We start from the raw sequence: 24,018 nt of genomic DNA, 5'->3' as shown, positions 1-24,018 counted from the left end.
TTTCATGAAGAACTATGCCTGGATAGGTAATGGATGAAGAAGAAATTTGGGTTGACTGAGGTAATGGGGGCTGTCCATGAAGCCTTGCGGCAGTACAGCCCAGGTAAGTTGCTGAGGCTGATGGGTGTCAGGGTCAGTCCAAGTGAAAGTGAAGAGAGGCTGGGATGAAGGGTGCAAATGAATAGTAAAGAAAGCATGTTTTGAGATCCAGAACAGAATAAGGGTTATGGAGGGGTTTTGGAGGGAGGTATTGAGGATAGGAGAGTATATGGGTTTGGCACCATGGCGTGGATAGGCAAGACAATTTGGTTGATAAGGCACAGATCCTGAACTAACCTGTAAGGCATGTCCAGTTTTTGGACAGGTAAAATGGGGGAATTGTAAGGAGAGTTTACAGGCTTTAAAAGGACATGTTGTAACAGGCAAGTGATAACAGGCTTTAATCCCTTTAAAGCCTGTTGTGGGATGGGATACTGGCGTTGACCCAGGTAAGGGTGATTAGGTTTTAATGGGATAGTAATGAGGGTGTGATTTGTTGCCAGGGAGGGAGTAGAGGTGTCCCATACCTGTGGGTTAAGGTAGGGGGATATGAGAGGAAGTGGCAAAGGAGTTGCCACTTTTGGGTTGGGAAGAAGGGCAGCAATGAGATGTGGCTGTAGTCCAGGAATAGTCAGGGAAGCAAATAATTTGGTTAAAATGTCTCAGCCTAATAAGGGAACTGGGCAGGTGGGGATAACTAAAAAGAAGTGTATAAAAGAATGTTGTTTAAATCGGCACCAGAGTTGGGGAGTTTTAAGGGGTTTAGAAGCCTGGCCATCAATACCCACAACATTTATGAAGACAAGGGAAACAGGACCTTGAAGAGAAGGTAATGTGGAGTGGGTAGCCTCTGCATTGATTAAGAAGGGGACGGACTTACCCTCCACTGTAAGAGTTACCAAAAGCATCTGTGATGGTCCAGGAGGCTTCTGAGGCGATCAGGCAGCATCAGTCTTCAGCCACTAAGCCAAGAAGATCTGGGAAGGAGTCAGTCAGAGAGCCTTGGGCCAGAGTTCCAGGGGCTCTGGGAGTGGGTGCTGGGCAAGTTGGACAGTCCGATTTCCAGTGGGGTCCCACACAGATGGAACATGGCTTAGGAGGAATCCCAGGCTGAGGGCATTCCTTGGCCCAGTGGCCAGATTTCTGGCACTTGAAGCAAGATCCTGATGGAGGAGGTCCTGTAGGAATGCTTGACCACTGTGGCTTAGGCATTTTGAAGTTCTTGTGTACTGGAGATGTGGCTGGGGTTTCTCTCACAGTGGAGGCAAGGAATTGCAACTCAGAAATATGTTGCTACTTGGCTGCCTCTACTCTATTATTGTACGCTTTGAAGGCAAGGTTAATTAAGTCCTGTTGTGGGGTTTGAGGGCCGGAGTCTAACTTTTGGAGCTTTTTCTAATGTTGGGAGTGGATTGGGTAATAAAATGCATATTGAGAATAAGATGACCTTCTGGCCCCTCTGGGTCCAAGGCTGTAAAATGTCTAGGAGTTGCTGCCAAATGAGCCATGGAGTGGGCTAGGTATTCATATTTGATGAAAAAAAGCCTAAATACTAACTGAGATGGGAGAGGTTGGATAAAGAAAAAGGAGCATTAACCTTGACTATGCCTTTAGCTCCAGCCACCTCTTTAAGAGGAAATTGTTGGGCAGGTGGGGGAGGGCTAGTCACAGAATGAAACTGTAAGCTGGACCAGGTGTGAGGAGGGGAGGTGATAGAAGGATTATAGGGTGGAGGAGCGGACGCTGAGGAAGAATTGGAGCCTGATTCAGCCTGGCGGGGAGCGACCTGAGGAGGAGCAGTCTGGGGAAGAGGGGAGAGGTCAGATGGGTCAGTAGAAAAGGAAGATTGGAAAGACTCAGCGACACTTGGGGTTGGGACTGAGGGGACAGGCAGGAGGGAAAGAAGGAGGATTTGGGATGAGTTGCATTGGGAACAGAGACTAGGGAGGGACCGACGTGTAAAAGAATGCCCAGATGTCAGGCACCTCAGACCATTTGTCCATTTTACGACAAGAATTATTTAGATCTTGTGGGATGGAGAAATTGAAAGTGCCGTTTTCAGGCTATTTGGAACCATTGTTGAGTTTGTATTGGGGTCAAGCGGTATTGCAGAAGAAAGTAAGGCATTTAGGTTTTAGGTCAGACGTGAGTTGAAGAGGTTTTAAGTTCTTGAGAACACAGGCTAAGGGAGAAAAGGGAGGAATGGAGGGTGGAAGGTGGCCCATAGTGAAGGAGGCAAGCCCAGAGAAGAGAGGGTGGAGACATGGAGAGAAGGGGTTGGGGGGTACTTGCCCCCCAGGAGAGGTGGTGCTTGCCCCCCAGGAGAGGTGGTGCTTGCCACCCAGGCAAAGTGGTACTTGCCACTAAGGTGAAGGATCCAGGCAGGCGTCCCTGCAGTGATCAGACAGCTCTGAAATGTGGGTGAATAATCAGGCAGGCATCCCTGCAGTGATTAAACATCAAGGGAAGACTGTCTTTCCAAGTCCATGACCAGTGCTGGAGTTTTGGGTTCACAGATAGAACACGTTTCCTCTGTCTCTACCAGAAAAAGAAAGGAACTGAAATTAAGGGAAGGGAGAGATTGAAGCGTGGTGCCAAGATTGAAAGGAGAAAGATGTTGAGGGATAGTGAGAGAGGCTGGAGAAGAGAGTAAAAAGAGGCCACTTACCCAATTTAAAATTGGTGAGATGTTCCTTGGGCTGGTTGGTCTGAGGACCAGAGGTCATAGGTGGATCTTTCTCATGGAGCAAAGAGCAGGATGACAGGGGACTGATCTCCCAAGGGAGGTTCCCCGATCTGAGTTACGGCACCAAATGTCACATGGTCTGTGTGAAGAGACCACCAAACAGGCTTTGTGTGAGCAATAAAGCTTTTGAATCACCTAGGTGCAGGCAGGTTGAGTCTGAAAAGAGAGTCAGCGAAGGGAGATAGGGGTGAGGCTGTTTTATAGGATTTGGGTGGGTAGTGGAAAATTACAGTCAAAGGGGGTTTTTCACTTGTGGGCAGGGGTGGGGGTCACAAGGTACTCAGTCGGGGAGCTTCTGAGCCAGGGGAAGGAATTTCACAAGGTTAATCCCTCAGTCAAGGTGGGGCAGGAACAAATCACAATGGTGGAATGTCATCAGTTAAGGCAGGAACCGGCCATTTTCAGTTCTTTTGTGATTCTTCACTTGCTTCAGGCCATCTGGGTGTATACCTGCAGGCTTGGGCTCAGAGGTCTGACAATAATATTTACTTGACATCTTGGTTTGAAGCTTGATCTGGTAGTGGTGTTTTCAATACCAATTGTTTTAACACTGGTAGTAACCATAATGATGATAACAGTAAGTAATGTGATTTCTTTTAAAAGTTTTTAAATCTTGGTTGAGTGCTGTGGCTCATGCCTGTAACTCCAACAATTAGGGAGGTAAAAGGCAGGAGGATTGCTTGAAACCAGAAGTTTGAGACGAGCCTGGGCAATACAACAAGACCCCATCCCTAATTATTTTTTTAAAAGTAGCTGGGCAGAGTAGCATATGCCTGTAGTCCTAGCTACTCAGGGAGCTGAAGCAGAAGGATTGCATGAACTCAGGACTTTGAGGCTGCAGTGAGCTATTATTGCATCCCTGCACTGCAGTCTGGGTGACAGAATAAGTACCTATCTCTAATAATAATAATAATAATAATAATAAAGTTTGTTAGGTTAAACTTATCTTGGCATCCAGTTATCTTAGTAGGCATCCAAATCCCTTTTTAGGAGAAAGCTATCTTTTTTTGATAAGCCTCTAATATAGCAGGTGTGACCCTACAGACGTAGTGTTGGCAGGAACTCAAACAATAGTAATATGTAATTAAGGCACTCTGTGTTAAGAAAACTTAGAGGAGTTAATTTTCTCTGCTCCCGTGAGCACATGAGAAGAAAAAAAAAAAGAGAGAAGGTAATGAAAGTAGAGAGAGAAGAACTAGAAATGTGAGAAGCTGAAGAGCTCTGTGGCGGGAGGGGTAGGGGTGGCAGAAGCAGCCTGGCCTCTGGGGACTAGTATGGATTTAAACAGCATGACTCCTCCTCTGCATCACACTAACCTCTGTAACATCCCACTAGGAATACAAACCCAGACCTGTATTTAGGTTGCTTTGAAGGAGGAGTTTAAGGTGAAGGGGCTGCTTCTTTAGTTTGGGAAAGTGGATATGAAGAAATAGCCATAAAAGGCAAAATTGGGACAAAATATTTTGGTAGAAACAAAATATTTAGAAGAAAATCGGTGCTATGGTGAGCATGAAAATTAAGCTCTCTGAGAATTTTGAGAACTCTTAGAGAGGGTTTGCGGCCAGTATTTTTAATTCATTTTATCTGGATTTTAGAGAGATGGTACCTGACATCTGGTTTACATTCCTCATAGCATTTAATCCCCGGCCATAGATGGTATTGTCCTCATTTTAAATTTTAAGAAACTGAAGCTCAGAGATATTAGTTTGTCTAAGTTCATATAGCTAGACAGTGTCTATAGAGTTACTGAATGTCTGTTTAATAGATAACGAAAGGTAGTTTAAAAGAGCTGTGTGTCTAATGCCATAGAGAAAAGGGAATAAAAAATTACTTAGAATAGATTTGGTTTCAAACACTCTTGCTGAAGTGGGTAGTCCAAAAGTAGGCAGCCAGTTCTCAATTCACAACAAAATCACTCTTGAAAGCAATTTTGAGAGAATAAGCTATGTCTCTTGATTTCAGCATCCTCGGAACTGACCCCTATGTCAGGAAGAAAATAGATCAAAATAGTTGTTCAATGACAAAGGACACAGGCATGTTTAGCAAAAAGAGAGGCTTAAGGCATGGGACAGTTGTCTTCAATTAACCAATTAAACATTTGCTGAAAATGTACGACTGCAAGACATACTACCAGGGGCTATGGACACATAAGGGCAGAGTTCCTATCCCTGGGGATCCAGCATCTGGAAGGGGAGGGAAGGTAAACACCCTGAACTGCAAGCTAAGGCTGTGTGTGCTATGGCTATGCTAAGTGTGCAAGCTCAGAGATGCTGCGGCTCAGAGGAGGAAGAGATCACTTGGCAAAGGGCAACAGAATTCAGAGGCAAAATTAGATCCTAGATCAGGTTTAATTAGAAACCAGGAGGAGAGTCTAGTATCTAAGACAAAGGTATTGAAGTTAGAGATGTTGGACAGGTTATACTGCCTTGGCAGAGACCTGGGGATGAAAAAGAGATAGAGTGGCTTTCAACTCTAAAGCTTATAAAGTTTGTACTCTAGTTTCTGGGAAAACTTGAGCAAGAGTGGAACAGGATCACAATGGTATTCTGGGAAGATTAAGGTGTCAGAGGGTTTAGGAGTGGAGATAAACGGAAGCAGGGGAGACCAGTCAGTGAATGTAATTATTCAGGCGTGATGATGAGGGTGGGGCCAGGAAGGTTCAAGTGTAAACCATTGTGAAGGCTTTGGTCTCTGACTAGTTGGGGTCAGGGAGGGGGGGGGTTGGCTGGGAGGAGGTGTAACAAAGTATTCAGAAAGGAAAATATAAAACAACAGTTCTGGCTAAATATGACTTATGCAAATGTTCCATTTTTCAAAGATCTTGTAGGAAAGTCCCTCCTTTGTTATATTTCCTCTGCATGAACTTAGCTGTTTAATTCTTAATATAAGAGAGAGTCAAGGATGTGGCCAAATTGCCTGTGGATTCACAAAGACCAATAGCGGAGACTGGGAATAGGAAAAGCCCCACATCTAAGGCTTTTAAAAATGTAGATTTGAATCAGTTCTGACCCCTTAAAAGAAAGCAATCTGAGTTTAGTTTCAGAAATGCAGTTTTGACCAAGACCCTAACGCAGACTGGCCGACCCTGTCTCAATGTACCAGGAAGTCTCCAAAAATGCCTCTCCACTGGGCTCGCCTTTGACTGTATAATCAGTTTCATGTGGATTTGGAGTAAACAGGCAGAATGTATAGTTGATGATGCACAGACTTGCACAATTGTGCTAATTACTTCTGGAGCATTAAATGAATATTCTAGAGAAATTACTATCCCTTTAGAAAGTATATACCCATAGCAATGGTTTCCAAACTTTTCTATTATGAGGAACACTCATTAAAGTTAAAAAATATTACAGAAGAAAAGTTATATTTTACTACCCGATAATTGAGAAAAATACAGATGTGCATATAGATTAAAACCAAAAAGGATTTCTTGTTCTGAGAAAAGTTAAAGCCTAGAGATTTAAAACCACTGTTCCTATATCCAGCGATATCTTTAAATATCTTTTATCTTCAGTAGAATGTATATTCACTTGCAATTCACATGCAAAAATAGCTACAAGTAACTCAGGGCCATCTTCTCTTGGACTGTAATGGGAGGAGGCTGACTAGATAACATCTAAGATTCCTTCTAGCTCTGATTCTTAAAGACTCTATGACTTAGGTGTCCTTCCCATCCCTTTGAAGTTTGAGAGCAAATTGAGCAACATTGTGGCTTCACTAAGCTCTGTAACTTGGACAAGTTACTTAAACGTTTTATGCCAGTTTTCTCATCGGTAAAATGGTGACAATGAGGGTACATCCCTCATATGGCAGTTATATGGCAGTTGTATAATACATGTAAAGAATTTAGAACAGTGACTGGCAAATAATAAGCACTAAATAAATGACAGCTACTGGTATAATAATGGTAATAGTTATTATTATTATTAATTTCAGAAGACCTGTGCTTGTATCTGGGTTCTAGTATCTAGTAGTAGTGTGCTATTCTAGTACCCTTCTTAGACTTGGGCAAGAGTGGCCCCTACTCAGGACCCATGCTTTAGAAGTCCTCACTCTGACCCTCCTCCAGCACCCTTTCTACTGTGGGAGAAGTTCACAGAATTAAGAAAACCTGTCTTCTGAGGCCTCCCTTATAGACCACACTACTGAAACCGTCCCAAGCTTGCTTCCAGAACTTGTATGGACTTTTCCAGGTTTTCCTGAGGATGGGCTGTGTCTCTGTGTATGCACAAGGGTGTCCCATTTTGTTTAGGGTTTGGACTTGGAGGCTGGGGTGTTCATACATGTATGTGAAAGGTGATTTAGTAAAGAGAAGGTGGGTGGACTGAAGGCTGGGGACCAACTCACTATGTGCCTCCACATTTCAGTGTGGACTCTGAAGCATCAAAGATTTCTAAATTCGAACCCCAGCTCATTAGGAAGGTATGTCTGTCAATATAGAAATTGGAGCACATTTTATTTAGCAGTTTTAAAGCTTGAATTAAAATGCTTAAATATCTAGTTATAGGATATGTGGGCCTTCATTTGTATCTTTGCTTCATTCTTTACAAATAGTAGAGCTAGCTTTTTTTTTAACCCTCAGGCTCCTCATGTGTAAAGTGGAATTAATTATGGCTGCCTCATACAATTGTGGTGAGGATTAAACATGACAACATATAATAGCACCTAGAACAATATATTCAGTAAATTTCTCTTTTTCTCTGGATTACACTTGATTTCATAGACATATGTGTACTTTACTCAACTATTAGCCAATTCTACTACAGATGTAACATGAACAAAAGTAGACCATATAATAGACTATGAAGCAAATGTCAATAAATTTCAATGATGTAGAATCATACAGGTTAACTGTTCTACTTGTTATAAGTTAATAATAAAAAGGTAAATTACTTAAAATCCCAATATGCTTAATAATTTAAAAATATTTAAATAACTCATAAGTTCAAAAGTCACATAGCTCTCACCACAAAAAATGATAAGTATGTGAGATAATGCATACATTAATAAGCTAAATTTAGCCATTCCACAATGTACATATATTTCAAAGCCATATGCTGTGCACAATAAATATACACAATTTTTATTTGTCAATTTAAAAAGTTAGTTTTTAAAAACCAAAAAGAAACTTTAAAGTATTCTAATTGAATAGAAATTAGACAATAGAAATATCAACAATTTGGGGTGCAGCAAAAGAATAACAAGGAAAATTTGTAGTTTTAATGCTTATCCTAAAAAAGCAAAGCAAGCTAAAAATTAAACACCCAACTTAAGAAGTTAGAGAAAAATTGAAAGAATAAACCATAAGGAAGTGGAAAAAAGAAAATAATAAACTTCAGAAGTTAATAGAAACAAGGAATAAGAGAAGATCAAAGAAGATAAAAAAATAGATGAACATCTATGACACTCATCGAGGAAAAAAGAAAAGTGGTATAAATAGACAAAATCTGGAGTACATAAAGAATATCTCTAGAGTAGGTAATTTTTTTAATTAAGAAAACATTAAGAATAACTTAATTAAAATATATTGGGTAATACTCAAAATAGCCAAAACAAATTCCCCAAAAAATTACTTGCCAAGGATTGTTTGCCAAATATTTCATAAGTCTAAAATATCCTTAATTTAAAAACCAGATAAAAATCGGCAAGAAGGAAAAATAGTCCAATCCCATTCACAAATATATGTGAACAAATCTTAAACATAATACTGTATAGCAACCAAATATAGAAGCAAATAAAAAATATAGCCTCATGCTCAGTTTAGGTTTATTTCTGCAATATGAGTGGAATTTACATTAGAAAATTTCTAACCATTAAATCACCATATTAACAGATTAGAGAAGAGAAACCATATAACCACCTCAATATTGCAAAAAGGAATTCACGATTTTTAAAATGGAAAGAAAAAACTTTCAGCAAGCCAGAAGAGGGGATTTCCCTTACTAAAAAGGAGTACCTTCCAAACATTGCAAGAAACATCATATTTAATGGGGAATCGTTTGCAGCTGTGTCTCTATAATCAGGAGTAATTCAATGATGCTGACTGACAATGTTGGCCATGAAAATGCATCACTGGCATCTCCTGTGGGGGAGCAGAGTTGACTGAGTTGACTGAGTTGACTGACAGCCCAGCCCCAGTTGCTACCCCTCTGGATCTAACATGACTTTTTTTTTTTTTTTTTTTTGAGACTGAGTCTCCCTCTGTCGCCCAGGTTGGATTGCAGTGATGCGATCTCGGCTCACTGCAAGCTCCACCTCCCGGGTTCACGCCATTCTCCTGCCTCAGCCTCCCAAGTAGCTGGGACTACAGGCGCCCACCACCACGCCTGGCTTTTTTTTTTTTTTGTATTTTTAGTACAGACGGGGTTTCACCGTGTTAGCCAGGATGGTCTCCATCTCCTGACCTCTTGATCCGCCTGCCTTGGCCTCCCAAAGTGCTGGGATTACAGGCGTGAGCCACCCTGCCAGCCTAAAATTCTACAGCTCTCTGTGTGATTATAGTAATGATCACAACCTGTCACACACATCTTCCTATTGTGTATGACCCTTCTACCAGATGATTAACTCCTGAAAAATCAGTCATGGCCAGATACCTAACTCCTGAAAACTGCTCACAGCTTGTGCACAATACATGTTAGAATTAAATTAAGATCAAAACCTAACCTATTTATGCCTTGCAAATAAGTGTAAAAACATACTAATACAAAACATTTTTACTTATTCCATCAGCCTTCATTACAGTGATAATAGAACGAGTATCAGTGTGGATCTAAACCCTGCAGTTTCAGTGAGCTGCAAGATCATTTCAGCTCTATATTTTCTTCAGAATTCTTCCCTGAAACCCTACACAATTCTTCCCTGAAAAAATAGTTCCAATATGTAATTAGCCTAGCATTACAGGCTAAAGGAAGTTATTTACATCTAGCTTAAATTTGTCTTGCTGCAACATCAGTGTATTTTTCTTCTTCAGGGGAACTGATGTAAACAAATGTGATTGGCTGATTCTTCCACAGAGGAAGAGTCAATATTCTAGTTATAGTTAACCCAAGATTATTTCTTTCTGCCAATACTTGAGTGTTATTAAAAATTTTAATAAAAGCTGGTGGTGGTCCTGAACTATTACTACTGGCAAAGAGTCTGCTTCTCTGGTTAGGGTTTGCATTTCTCTCACCTGTGGTGCTGTTCTAGGCTGTGCCACTTCCTCAGAGCAGGAGAGAGAGAGTGGGGTGGACCAACTGGCAAAATTCCCTGAGGTTACAGGCCACCATTTCCCCTTCCTGCTCTATTGAAATGTAACGACTGAGTCAAACCCTAGCCATCCCCCAGGTTGACCCTTTTGTGTACCAAACTATGACTGTTCACCAGACACTTAAAGATGATGGCCATAAGAAAGTTCTGGGAAAACTTGTGGGCTGGAGTCCTGATTCATGCACCAGGCATCAACAATAGCAGATGCAAACACAGACAGCATTTGCACAACAGGGTATGCTAGTATAAGTGATGATAAGCGTAGCTTTTAGCTTTGTAATGCTGATAAAGAACTTGCCAAGAAAATCATTTTTCCTCAAAGGCAACTTGTTATTGCCAAATATCCTGCTCATCTGATTGGACATTGGTTCCTCTATTGTTCATCAATATGCATACAGTACAACTACTGACATTAACTTGCTTATTCAGAGGCATTTACTTCCCTTCTCCCTCTCTCACTGGGTATTTGTTGTGTTTTAGAAAATGGTGAACTTGGCATTTAAAATGCTTAAACCCAGGTCCCAAGTTTATAGCTGTCTTCTTTCCCGCGGATTTAAAATGAGAATATCACTGCAGATGGTTTCTGCAGCTACTGTTAATCCTAAATTGCTCTTATGGACCTCAAATACATCCAACCTTGAGAGACTCTGATAAAGGGATAATTTGTAATCTATGAACTATAAAGTATACTGTAGGTCCCCTCAGGGTTCCTATACTGCACTGCTCCAGGGACACCATTTATGTTGTATTCTGCATGAATGGTGCCCCTTTTGGGTTATGCAAAGCAGTGGCCTGGATATTATATGTAATACTTATACAAAAATAGCTACTATTTATTGATAAACTTACACAATTGTCTCAAATCCATACATTGCAAGAATGAATCACTATCTCTATTTTATATATGCGAAGCTGGAAATTCAGAAAAGTTCAATAAGTTGTCCCACACACACACCTGCCAAAAAAAAAACGTCAATAACTGAGGATGAGGGAATAAGGTTTTAAAACCTGTTTGACTCCAGAGTTTGAGTTTCCCCCATTATGCCATCAATATTAGACACACTTGCAGTAAATGGGTATTTCTTCACTCATTTAACAGATATTTGTTAAATGCCACTAGTAATAATAGTCAACAACTATTGAATGCACACTGTATACCAGGTTGGGGATGCAATGTGGAACAAAACCAACATGGTCCTTGCATGCATGCGGCTTAGTGGTAGGAAAAACATGAGCCCAATAAGACAACAGCTCGTATATTTGTGTTCAGTATGTGAAGGCATTGTTGTTAAGTGGCCTACATACGTATGCTCATTTAATGCTCACACCAATCCTATGAGGTGGATATTATTTTTATCTCTATTTTACAGATGAAGAAACTAAGGAACAAGAGCAATTTACCTAGTATTGCTCAGCTGGTCAGTGACAGATCTGGGATTAAAATCCAGGGAGGCTAGCTCCAGAGTTCATGCACTTAGCTATTAGCTTACTAACAATGACCATGTAAATCATTATCTCATGACTGCTGTGATAAATGTTATAAAGTAAAGGCAAGATGTTAAAGCATACACATTGTATTTATTTTCATTCAAAGGGCATTAATCTCCTAGTTTTTATTAAAAACTTTATATACATTTATACAAAGAAGTTTAGGATGATATATATGTATATATGTGTGTGTGTCTATATATCAAATCTTTAAGCACTATTATCTCTGGATGGTAGAATTTCAGGTAATATCTGAAAATTTATTTTTAATGATTTTTAAATCAAAATTTTAAAAATAATAACATTGATTTTATCATATAAAATGAATACACGGTTTTCATTTGGAAAAAATGTCCCCACTTGATATAAAAACAAGGTTTTTATTTTAAAAATTATCTTTCAGCGGGTCTGAGGAAAAGAAAAAGCTGATGTCCAAATGAGGAAAAAAAATTACAGTGAATCTTTCCATAAGACTTACCTTTGCAGTGGAACTACATAAAAATTGAGAACTACTCCATAAAATTTCTCAACTAAGCATTGAATAAGAGTTATTTGGCTTCAGAAGATCCATACTGTACTCAAATTTTTGAGTAAAAATTTAACAGCATATCTTGAATATTTAAATAAATATTTGCTTCACTTAAACCAAACAAGACAAACACCAGAAAGGACCTGTTCTTCATGGCAGGCCATGCTATAATGTGGAAAAAACAAAGCCTACAAAACCATTCAGAACTGAGTTTAAATCCTGATGCTTCCAGTTTCTAGTCAAATGGCATGCCCCATGCATTTAATCTCTCCAAGGCTCAATTTCCACATATGTACATACAATGGACGGTTGTTATGAGATTAAAGATCATTGTGAGATTAAACATCATGTGTGTAAGGTACTTGGCTCTTTGCTTAATAAATGTTAATTACTCTAATGAGGTAAATATTTTATTTTAATATGAATGCTCAGATTTATACCACAAAGTAGCTTAACCCCACCCCCCCACCATTAACTTTTAGGTTCAGGGGTACATGCACAGGTTTTCTATATAGGTAAATTGTGTGTCACAGGGGTTTGGTGTGCAAATTATTTCATCACCCAGGTAATAAGCACAGTGTCCTATGGGTACTTTTTGATCCTCACCCTCCTCCCACCCTCTATTCTCAAGTAGGTCCCATGTCTATTGTTCCCTTCTTTGTGTCCATGTGTACTCAATATTTAGCTGTCACTTATAAATGAGAACATGTGGTATTTGGCTTTCTGTTCCTGCATTAATTTGCTTAGGATAATGGCCTCCAACTACATCCATGTTGCTGCAAAGGACATGATGATCTTGTTCATTTTTATGGCTGCATACTATTCTGTGATGTATATGTACCACATTTTTTTTTTTTTAGCTAGTCTACCACTGATGGGCATTTAGACGATTCCATGTCTTTGCTATCGTAAATAGTGCTGTAATGAACATATGCATGCATGCGCCTTTACGGTAAAACAATTTCTATTCCTTTTGGTGTATATCCAATAATGGGATTGCTGGATTGAAAGGCAGTTCGGTTTTACATTCTTTGAGGAATCACCACACTCTCTTCCACAATGGCTGAACTAGTTTACATTCCCACTAGCAGTGCATAAACATTCCCTTTTCTCCACAACCTTCACCAGCATCTGTTATTGTCTGACTTTTTAATAGTAGTCATTCCTACTGGTATTAGATGGTATCTTATTATGCTTTTGATTTGTATTCCTCTAATGATTAGTGATGTTAAACATCTTTTCATATGGTTGTTGGATGTGTGAATGTCTTATTTTGAAAAGCATCTGTTCATGTCCTTTGCCCACTTTTTAATGAGGTCATTTTTTTGCTTGTAAATTTGTTTAAATTCCTTATAGATTCTGGATATTAGACCTTTGTCAGATGCATAGTTTGCAAAAAATTTTTCCATTCTGTAGGTTGTTTACTCTGTTGATAGTTTATTTTGTTGTACAGATAAACTATCTGTTGTACAACTAAAGAGTTTCATTAGTTTCATTAGTCAATTTGGTTTTTGTTGCTATTGCTTTTGGTGTCTTGTCATGAAGTCTTTGCCAGGTCCTATGTCCAGAATGGTATTTCCCAGGCTATCTTCCAGGGTTTTTATAGTGTTTGGTTTTAGATTTAAGTCTTTACTCCATCTTGAGTTATTTTTTGTATATGATGTAAGGAAGGGGCCCAGGTTCAATCTTCTGTATATAGCTAGACAGTTATCCCAGCACCATTATGGAATAGGGAGTCCTTTCTCCATTGCTTGTTTTTGTGGATTTTGTCAAAGATCAGATGGTTGTCAGTGTTCAGCATTATTTCTGGCCTCTGTATTCTGTTCCATTGTTTAACCCCTCTTTTGAGTGAAATGTATTATGCGCAGCAGTCAGAGGTTATTAAGGTGACTTCCATTTGTACATCTTTGCAGAGCCTTCCCTGGCTTTGGTCTGCACTTCTCAGGGCTGGCTCTGCAGATGAGGAATGAAGAAACAGTAACAGACAGAAAAGTCTCTAGGGGCTCAAGGAGCAGATCTTGTGGGAAAAAAGAAAGAAGCCTGTAACTTCCATTCTATAGCACCAATTTACTTATTTTCAGACTATTGCCCCCTGGCAAGTTTTAAATACTTTCTACTGTATCTTTAATCCCACCTATTGGTCCCACTTATTGGTGCCTGGTAGGAAATAGGCACCAAATTTCTCCTACAAGAAAAATGTGGTTCTTTTCTGTTTACCAAGTGCTGGTAGATACAATGTATCAGGTGTTAGAAGCACATGCTGTCTTCTTGTAAGATACATGAAAAAGACACAATGCTGAGACTTCTTAAGAACTGGAATCAAGAAATAAACGGGCTTTGGAAAATGGAGAGACTCTTACCCAGTAAACCTTCATTCTGGATTTTATACTCTAACTTTCCCTGTGAATTTTCCTACTTGTAAATGACTGATGGCTTAAGGTAAAACAAGATTAAGCCAGAGGCTTGCTGGGGCTAACTGAGCTACTCTACAGTGACATGAGAAATTATTAACTGAACTTCTTTGAAGTATAATATACACATGGAAAAAGCTAGATATAAAAAAATGCATTTTTACAACCAACACATCCTGTAGCCAGCATCCAGATCATTACCACTCCCCAGAGGATTCCTTATTTACCGCTTCTGGGCATTAAACTGTCCCCTCCCCACAAAGGTAGCCTCTCTTCTGATTTCTAACACCACCATGAATTGGTCCCACCTATTTTTGAACTTTGTATATAGAGAGAATCTTTCAGTATATGTTCTTTGGTCTGATTTCTTTAACTCAGCATTTTATGAGATTCATCCATATAATTGTATGAAGACTGTTCACCATCATTGCTGTGTCTGTGTGTCATATAATTGTATGAAGACTGTTCACCATCATTGCTGTGTCTGTGTGTGATATAATTGTATGAAGACTGTTCACCATCATTGCTGTGTCTGTGTGTGCATTTATATACTTATTTATATATCAAATGCATAATAGGTAAAAATTTTGATCAGATATGCTTTTTCAACACATAGAAGTTAAAAACAGCTATGCACTGATGTGAAGCTTTTCTTTTTCCAACTTTCTAACTTCCCAAAAAGTCTCCTAAATGAGTTAGGCAAGGAAACTTTTCGCTATAGAAAAGAAGATGTTGGATTCCTGTTAATTCTAGTTTGTTTAGATTTTTCCACAGTGGGAGGTGTTAACAGGGGAAGAAGTACAATGCTGCCTGGGAAAGCCTGCCACTGTTTATCATCCAAGTATGTCAGGTCAATCTAACTGATTTCCTGTGCTTGAAGACAGGAAAAGACGTTGCTGCCTGGCTGCTCCTGCCCTCGGTTTCAAACCAAAGCTGGGGTCAGGCCCAATTGTGAAGTGGTTTAAATTGGTCTCTAGTGCCACCCCATTCTCCTTTCTATACCATCAGATACCCTCCCCCTATTGCTCACTAAGGAGCTTGTGATTATAGCCTTCCTCTTCATCAGTAGATAACATACCACCTAAAAGTGATGTTTTTTAAAAAAATTACACTTTAAGTTCTGTGATACATGTGCAGAACGTGTAGGTTTGTTAAATAGGTATACACATGCCATGGTGGTTTGCTGCACCCATCAACCTATCATCTACATTAGGTGTTTCTCCTAATGCTATCCCTCCCCTAGCTCTCCACCCCGCAACAGGCCCTGGTGTATGATGTTCCCCTCCCTGTGTCCATGTGTTCTCATTATTCAACTCCCACTTATGAGTGAGAACATGCGGTGTTTAGTTTTCCGTTCCTGTGTTAGTTTGCTGAGAATGATGGTTTCCAGCTTCATCCAAGTCCCTGAAAAGGACATGAACTCATCATTTTTTATGGCTGCATAGTATTCCATGGTGTATATGTGCCACATTTTCTTTATCCAGTCTATCATTGATGGGTATTTGGGTTGGTTCCAAGTCTTTGCTGCTGTGAACAGTGCTGCAATAAACATATGTGTGCATGTGTCTATAGTAGAATGATTTATAATCCTTTGGGTACATACCTAGTAATGGGATTGCTGGGTCAAATGGTATTTCTGGTTCTAGATCCTTGAGGAATCGCCACACTGTCTTCCACAGTGGTTGAACTAATTTACACTCCCACCAACAGTGTAAAAGCATTCCTATTTCTCCACATCCTCTCCAGCATCTGTTGTTTCCTGACTGTTTAATGATCACCATTCTAACTGGCATGAGATGGTATCTCATTGTGGTTTTGATTTGCATTTCTCTAATGACCAGTGATGATGAGCTTCTTTTCATACATTTGTTGTCCACATAAATGTCTTCTTTTGAGAATTGTCTGTTCATATCCTTTGTCCACTTTTTGATGGGGTTGATTTTTTCTTGTAAATTTTTTGAAGTTCCTTGTAGATTCTGGATATTAGCCCTATGTCAGATGGATAGATTGCAAAACTTTCTCCCACTCTGTAGGTTTCCTGTTCACTCTGATGATAGTTTCTTTTGTTCTGCAGAAGCTCTTTAGTTTAATTATATCAAATTTGTCAATTTTGGCTTTTGTTGCCACTGAGTTTGGTGTTTTAGTCATGAAGTCTTTGCCCATGCCTATGTCCTGAATGGTATTGCCTAGGTTTTCTTCTAGGGCTTTTATAGTTTTAGGTCTCACATTTAAGTCTTTAATCCATCTTGAGTTAATTTTTGTATAAGGTGTAAGGAAGGGATCCAGTTTCAGTTTTCTGCATATGGCTAGCCAGTTTTCCCAACACCATTTATTAAACAGGGAATCCTTTCTGCATTTCTTGTTTTTGTCAGGTTTGTCAAAGATCAGATGGTTGTAGATGTGTGGTATTATTTCTGAGGGCTCTGTTCTGTTCCATTGGTCTATATATCTGTCTTGGTACTGTGTCCGGAATTGGTGGGTTCTTGGTCTCACTGACTTCAAGAATGAAGCCGCGGACCCTCGCGGTGAGTGTTACAGTTCTTAAAGGTGGTGTGTCCGGAGTTCGTTCCTTCTGATGTTCGGATGTGTTCAGCCTTCTGGTGGGTTCGTGGTCTCGCTGGCTCAGGAGTGAAGCTGCAAACCTTCTCGGTGAGTGTTACAGCTCTTAAGGTGGCCCATCTGGAGTTGTTTGTTCCTCCCAGTGGGTTCGTAGTCTTGCTGGCTTCAAGAGTGAAGCTGCAGACCTTCGCAGTGAGTGTTACAGCTCATAAAGGCAGTGTGGACCCAAAGAGTGAGCAGCAGCAAGATTTATTGCAAACAGTGAAAGAACAAAGCTTCCACAGCGTGGAAGGGGACCCAAGCGGGTTGCCACTGCTGGCTCATGCAGCCTGCTTTTATTCTCTTATCTGGCCCCACCCACATCCTGCTGATTGGTAGAGCCAAGTTGTCTGTTTTGACAGGGCGCTGATTGGTGCATTTACAATCCCTGAGGTAGACACAAAAGTTCTCCACGTCCCCACCAGATTAGCTAGATACAGAGTGTCGACACAAAGGTTCTCCAAGTCACCACCAGAGTAGCGAGATACAGAGTGTCGATTGGTGCATTCACAAACCCTGAGCTAGACACAGGGTGCTGATTGGTGTGTTTACAAACCTTGAGCTAGATATAGAGTGCCGACTGGTGTATTTACAATCCCTTAGCTAGACATAATGGTTCTCCAAGGCCCCACCAAAGCAGCTAGATACAGAGTGTCGACTGGTGCACTCACAAACCCTGAGCTAGACACAGGGTGCTGATTGGTGTGTTTACAAACCTTGAGCTAGATACAGAGTGCCGATTGGTGTATTTACAATCCCTTAGCTAGACATAAAGGTTCTCCACATCCCCACCAGACTCAGGAGCCCAGCTGGCTTCACCCAGTGGATCCCACGCCGGGGCTGCTGGTGGAGCTGGCTGCCGGTCCCGTGCCGTGAGCCCGCACTCCTCAGCCCTTGGGTGGTTGATGGGACTGTGTGCCGTGGAGCAGGGGGCAGCGCTCGTCGGGGAGGCTCGGGCTGCACAGGAGCCCAGGGAGTTGGGGGAGGCTCAGGCATGGTGGGCTGCAGGTCCCAAGCCCTGCCCCGTGGGAAGGCAGCTAAGGCCTGGCGAGAAATTGAGCACAGCAGCTGCTGGCCCAGGTGCTAAGCCCCTCACTGCCCAGGGCCGGTGGGGCCGGCCGGCCGCTCCGAGTGTGGGGTCCACCAAGCCCATGCCACCTGGAACTCGCGCTGGCCCACAAGCACCGCATGCAGCCCCGGTTCCTGCCCGCACCTCTCCCTCCACTGCTCCCCTAGAAAGAGGAGAAGCCATGTTGCCCAACTCCAGAGGCTTGTATAAGAGTTTGAAAGATGTCTGATTTCAGAAGCCTTTTCCTGTAAACACCGGGCGGCATTTCGTACTATCCCTGACTGGTTAGTGTAAAAACAACACTCTTGCCCTAAGAAGGTGCAGAGTCATCCTTTTTCAGCAGTGAGGAGGTCTAGGCCTTGGCGGTTTTGGAGAGTCACTGCTACCAAAGAGTCTATTTGGGACTGTAAAGTAAGGATAGATTTCATTATTTCTTGCAAACTGTCTGAGAGGCAGATATGGGTTGAAGATCCACATAAGTAGAATATGCCTTGGCTGGGTAGATAGACATTTACCCTGGGTTTTAAAGGAATAGGGTACACTGTTTTTTTTTCTTTACTACTTCCATCTCTCTTTCTCTTTCTCTTTGACTTCTCCTTTGTCTCTCTTTCTCTTTCTCTTTGACTTCTTCCTCTCTGTCTCCTTCTCTGTCTCTTTGACTTCCTGTCTCTTTCTTTCTCTCTGTTTCTTCCTCTCTCTCTTTCTCTGACTTTCTCTTTCTCTCTTTCCTTCTTGCTGATCTTTCCCTGCCTCTGCCAGCCGCTTATGCTGCTGCTCTCCCCTCTTCTTCCCATTTTGATGGCTTTGGCAGTGTAAGAGTGCCACCCCCTTGTGTTTTTGCATTGTGTGCAATAACTCTATAATTTCCTTGTGGTATTTGATGGGGGTTCCCCCAGAGGTTAGGAACTCCCTCTCTTTCCATATTGCAGCATGGGCATATAGGATTAGATAAGCATACTTGCTATCTGTATACACGTTTATTCTTTTTCCCTTTCCCAGTTCTAAGGCTTGGGTAAGTGCCACTAGTTCTGCTAACTGGGCACTGGTCCCTGGGGGAGGAGGCTTACTCTCAAGTATGGTTACATCACTAACTATGGTGTAACCTGCCCTTCGTATCCCATTCTCCACAAATGAACTTCCATTGGTATATAGGTAAAGGTCAGGATTAGTTAAGGGGACTTCTAAGAGCTCATCTCAGGCGGTGTGAGTCTGGACTATAATTTGTTGGCAGTCATGCTCGATTGTTTCCCCGTCCTCTGGGAGAAAAGTGGCAGGGTTGAGGGCCACACACGTGTGTATTTGAAACACTGGTCCCTCAAGGAGGAGTGCCTGGTATCTAAGTAGGTGGTTGTCTGATAGCCATAAACTTCCTTTGGCACCTCGTATGCCATTTACATCATGAGTAGTCCAGACAGTGAGACCCTTTCCTTGTATTATTTTGATAGCCTCTGACACTAAGACGGCCACTGCTGCAACTATGCTTAAACAGTGAGGCTAGCCTTTTGCTACTACATCAATTTCCTTACTTAGCTATGCCACTGGTTGTGGGGTTGTCCCACGAGTCTGAGTAAGGACTCCAAGAGCTATCCCGGCTCTCTCTGTGACGTATAAAGAGAAGTTTTGTCCTGTGGGAAGGCTTAAAGCTGGAGCTTGTACTAGGGCCTGTTTTAAGGTTTTGAAGGCTCTTTCTGCCTCTGGTTCCTATTCGACTAGATGAGTATTTGCCCTCTGGGTTTCCTTGATTAGAGTATAGAGGGGCCTGGCTATCTCACTATCTGGGGATCCATAGTCGGCAAAAGCTAGCAATTCCAAGGAACCCCCTCAACTGTTTTAATGTCTTAGGGTGACGATAAGCCAGTATAGGCTGTATTCGTTCCTTGCTGAGGGCCCTGGTCCCTTTGGCTAAGATTAGGCCTAGATATTTAACCTGCGGTAGGCAAAGCTGGGCCTTCGACCTAGACACCTCGTACCCTTGATTAGCTAGAAAGTTCAAGAGATCTAGAGTAGCCTGCTGGCACGAGGCTTCCGAACTGGTAGCCAAAAGTAAATCATCCACATATTGAAGGATCAGAGTGCCTGGACTTGAGAAGTGGCCTAGATCTTGGGCCAGTGCCTGACCAAACAGATGAGGGCTATCCCTAAACCCTTGGGGCAAGACCGTCCACGTAAGTTGGGACATGTGGTCTGTGGGATCCTCAAAAGCAAAGAGGAACTGGGAATCACAGTGCAGGGGAATACAGAAGAAGGCATCCTTGAGGTCCAGAACCATGAACCATTCTGCCTTCTCTGGTATTTCAGAGAGCAGGGTATAGGGGTTGGGTACAACTGGATATAGTGGAATTACTGCCTCATTGATGAGTCTAAGATCTTGCACTAGTCTCCACTGACCATTCGGTTTTTGTACTCCTAGAATTGGGGTGTTGCAGGGACTGCTGCATTTCCTTACTAAGCCTTGAGCTTTCAAATGTTTAACAATATTCTGTCATCCTTTATGAGCTTCAGGCCTTAAGGGATATTGCCTTTGATAAGGAAAAGTGGTGGGATCTTTTAACCTGATTTGGACTGGGCGGGCATTTTTTGCCCTTCCAAATTGTCCTTCCAATGCCCAGACTTCAGGGTTGATTCCCTCCTCAAGTAGGGGACAACAAATGGGTAACTTGTTCCCCATATTCATGTAGATAATAGCTCCAGCCTTGGCTAATATATCCCTCCCTAATAAGGGTGCGGGACTTTCAGGCATAACAAGAAAGCCATGTGAAAAGAGCAAAGTCTCCCAATTACAACTGAGAAGGTGGGAGAAGTACCTGGTTACAGGCTATCCCAGGATTCCTCGGATGGTAACGGACCTTGAGGACAGTCATCCAGGACATGAGATTAACACTGAGAAGGCCATGCCAGTGCCCAGGAGGAAGTCAATTTCATGGCCCTCAATGGTGAAACATACCTGGGGCTCAGTGAGGGTGATGACATGAGCTGGCGCTTGCCCCGGGCACCCTCAGTCCTGTTGTTGGATCATCTGGTTGGGGGCTTCTGACCCAGGGAACCTTCATCCTCTGGCACAGTGCACCTTCCAGTGATTGCCTCAGCATAGTGGACATGGACAAGGGGGCAGCTTGTTTCTCATTGGACAATCTTTTTAAGTGTCCTAGTAAATCACACTGATAGCAAGCCCTACCGGGTGATTGGCCTGCTCCATTTTCTATCCTCTCTGAACCACCAAGGTTTGTTTATCTGAGGGCCATGACTAAGGCTGCAGCCTTTCTCTGATCTCGCTTTTCCTTTTGGGCCTCTTTCTCTTGGTCCCTATTATAGAATACTGAGGTTGCCAGGTTTAATAATGCCTCTAGATTTTGTTCAGGGCCCAGGGCTTGCTTTTGGAGCTTTCTCCTGATATCTGCAGCTGATTGGGTAATAAACTTATCTTTTAGAATCAATTGACCCTTGAGTGATTCGGGTGACAGGGGAGTATATTTTCTTAAGGCCTCTCGTAGCCGCTCAAGGAAGGAAGAGGGATTTTTCTTTCTTTCCCTGAGTTATGGTGGACATCATTGAATAATTCATCAGTTTTTTTCTAATTCTCCTTAGTCCTTCTAGAACATAGGTCAACAAATGTTTATGACTCCAGTCCCCATGATCGGAGTCAAGGTCCCAGTGGGGATCCATACTGGGGATGGCTTGCTGACCAGTAGGGAATTTGTCCCTTTCTTTGGTTGTCATTCTATCATTTACTTGACTAAGATACCAGGTATCTCCAAACTCTCGGGCTGCAGCTAAAGCTGCATTCTTTTCATTAAAGGACAGGGTTTGATCTAACAGTAGCATGACATCTCTCCAAGCAAGGTCTAAGGTTTGCCCTAGACCCTGTAGGACATCTACGTACCTATCAGGATCATCTGAAAACTTCCCCAGGTCTACCTTGATCTGCTTTAAATCAGAGAGGGAGAAGGGGACATGTACCCAGGTTGGGCCAAATTCCCCTCCCCCTACAGCTTGAAGGGGACATAACCGATAGCCCAGGGGTTTTTGTGGTCCCTTGGAGATTTCTTTGCTTGTTTCCTTCCGGCAGGGGAGATTAGAGGAGGATTATTATTAATAGGAAGGGGAGCTATAGGGAGGCTGGGATATGGGGGTAAGCTGAGAGGTCCTCCTGTGGGACATAAATTGCAAGCTTTGCATAGTTGTGTATTCTCCCTCAATGAAAAGAAAGCTTGGACATAAGGTATTTCATTCCATTTGCTTTCCCTCTCACAGAAAAGGTCAAGCTGCAGGATAGTATTGTAATTTGTACTTCCCTCAGGTGGCCATTTTTCCCCATCAGAAAGAGAATATTGGGGTCAAGCCGTAGTGCAGAAAAAAAATGAGCCACCTCTTTTTCAGGGTTTGTGGGTCAAATTGGTCCCAGTGGCTTAGGATGCATTTCAAGGGTGAGCCTGTTGATGCCTGAGTGTTTCCCATCTGAAAGACAAAACCGCCCATGGTTTTGGTTTATTTTGTTTTTCCCCCTGCCCAAGAACCTGCAACAGTCCCTGGACCCTGCTGATCAGAATAGTTGTGCTCACCGACGCAGCAGCAGAAACAACCCCTGCCCAAGAACCCGCAACAGTCCCTGGACCCTGCTGATCGGAATAGTTGTGCTCACCGACGCAGCAGCAGAAACACTAGTTTTCCTCCCAGACCACATGGAGAACTGAGGAAGGTCGGATTTAGTGGCCCTTACCAACACATTCTCGAAAACCTGCACCCTTGCCTGTCCTCCTAGACCACAAGGAGGACCAACCGAGAAAAATCGGCTTTAGTGGCCCTTACTGACGCATTCTCAAAAACCTGTTAGAGTCCTAAGCATTCTTCTGTTAGTATTGGGACTTTACCCCTTTCCTATAAAGATGTTATGCCCCAAAAATGAAGTGGAGGGCCATACCCTGAGGGAGGGAAGTGATCTCCAGGGTTGGAAGAGTGACACCTTTTGTCCTCACTTATATGAATAGGAAGGATACAATTTCTGAGGCTCCCCATATCCTAGCTTCAGGAATAGCTTTTGTTATGCCTATTAGTCTGAGGAGGGATCCTAAAATTCCAGGTAGTCCCCACTATGATGGGGCTTTGGGCAAAAATTATGTCTTTCTGATTGGTGAGCCCGGGTGCCTAAAGAAGGTAACAGAGTCCTGGAGTTTATTCTAGAAATCATTCTTATAGGAGAAACTAGAAAAGCACCAGAGACAGGTAGCAATTTTTAGAAGTGGGACTAACCTCGGAGAAGAGAGGCAAGAGGAAGTTTGTCTGGCAGGCATTAGGACCCAGGGGGCAAGCATCAGGATAGATAGGATAGATGGGCGAGAGTCTCGCTTGGGCAACATGCCTTTGAGAGTTCTGCTCATGGCCACAGGGTCAACCAACTTGTTGTCAGGACCCCGGAGCTGCATGGCTTTCCTCTCTGTCAACCCTCGGCTCAGCCCAGAAGTACAGGAAAAGTGGAAGCTGGTTCTAGGCAAACCAACAGTCCCAACTTCGAAGAGTCGGGGGTTGTTAGAGAGCCCTTTCCCAGAAAGCCTGACACCCGTGTCTTTAGTCTGGCGGCCGTGCTAGTCGCTTTTAACTGGCCAACAGGTGCCCAGTATTTAGCCCTCGAATTTTAAGGAAAAATAGGACAGAATAGCAAGTGAAAAGCGTCCGATGGTACTCACTGCTTGGCGATAAGCAATTGTCTCGCCGCACAGTGACAGGCAATGGTCTCACTGCTTGGCGATAGCCTCACCGCTTGGCAATAGGTGATAGTCCCTTCGTGGTCACCAAAATGTGCCCGGAATTGGTGGGTTCTTGGTCTCACTGACTTCAAGAATGAAGCCATGGACCCTCGCAGTGAGTGTTACAGTTCTTAAAGGCGGCGTGTCCA

The 24,018-nt window shown here is 42.3% G+C and overlaps 1 long non-coding RNA gene across 1 annotated transcript, besides 2 other annotated features; it reads right to left on the bottom strand.

The window, feature by feature from the left end:
- Positions 1 to 2,400: 2,400 nt before the first annotated feature.
- On the bottom strand, positions 2,401 to 24,001 carry LOC107985745 (uncharacterized). Its single transcript, XR_007066727.1, has 3 exons — positions 23,810 to 24,001; positions 2,708 to 2,864; positions 2,401 to 2,577 (listed from the first exon to the last, which is right to left on the bottom strand). It is a non-coding gene; the product is annotated as an uncharacterized LOC107985745 (long non-coding RNA).
- Positions 5,599 to 5,848: an enhancer, noted in NCBI's record as "active region_2077". NCBI's record gives its function as "activates an Ori minimal core promoter by ATAC-STARR-seq in GM12878 lymphoblastoid cells {active_cell/tissue: GM12878}" and the evidence as "EXISTENCE:reporter gene assay evidence [ECO:0000049][PMID:35858748]".
- Positions 18,101 to 18,606: an enhancer, noted in NCBI's record as "H3K27ac-H3K4me1 hESC enhancer chr1:169636965-169637470 (GRCh37/hg19 assembly coordinates)". NCBI's record gives its function as "activates a minimal SCP1, AML or CMV promoter by ChIP-STARR-seq in primed H9 embryonic stem cells {active_cell/tissue: H9 hESC(primed)}" and the evidence as "EXISTENCE:reporter gene assay evidence [ECO:0000049][PMID:30033119]".
- Positions 24,002 to 24,018: the final 17 nt, after the last annotated feature.

The sequence above is a fragment of the Homo sapiens genome, chromosome 1 (assembly GCF_000001405.40).
Source record: "Homo sapiens chromosome 1, GRCh38.p14 Primary Assembly".
Taxonomy (NCBI): Eukaryota; Metazoa; Chordata; class Mammalia; order Primates; family Hominidae; genus Homo; species Homo sapiens.
Note: the sequence above shows the minus strand (reverse complement) of the source record. Positions and strands in the feature narration are given on the sequence as shown.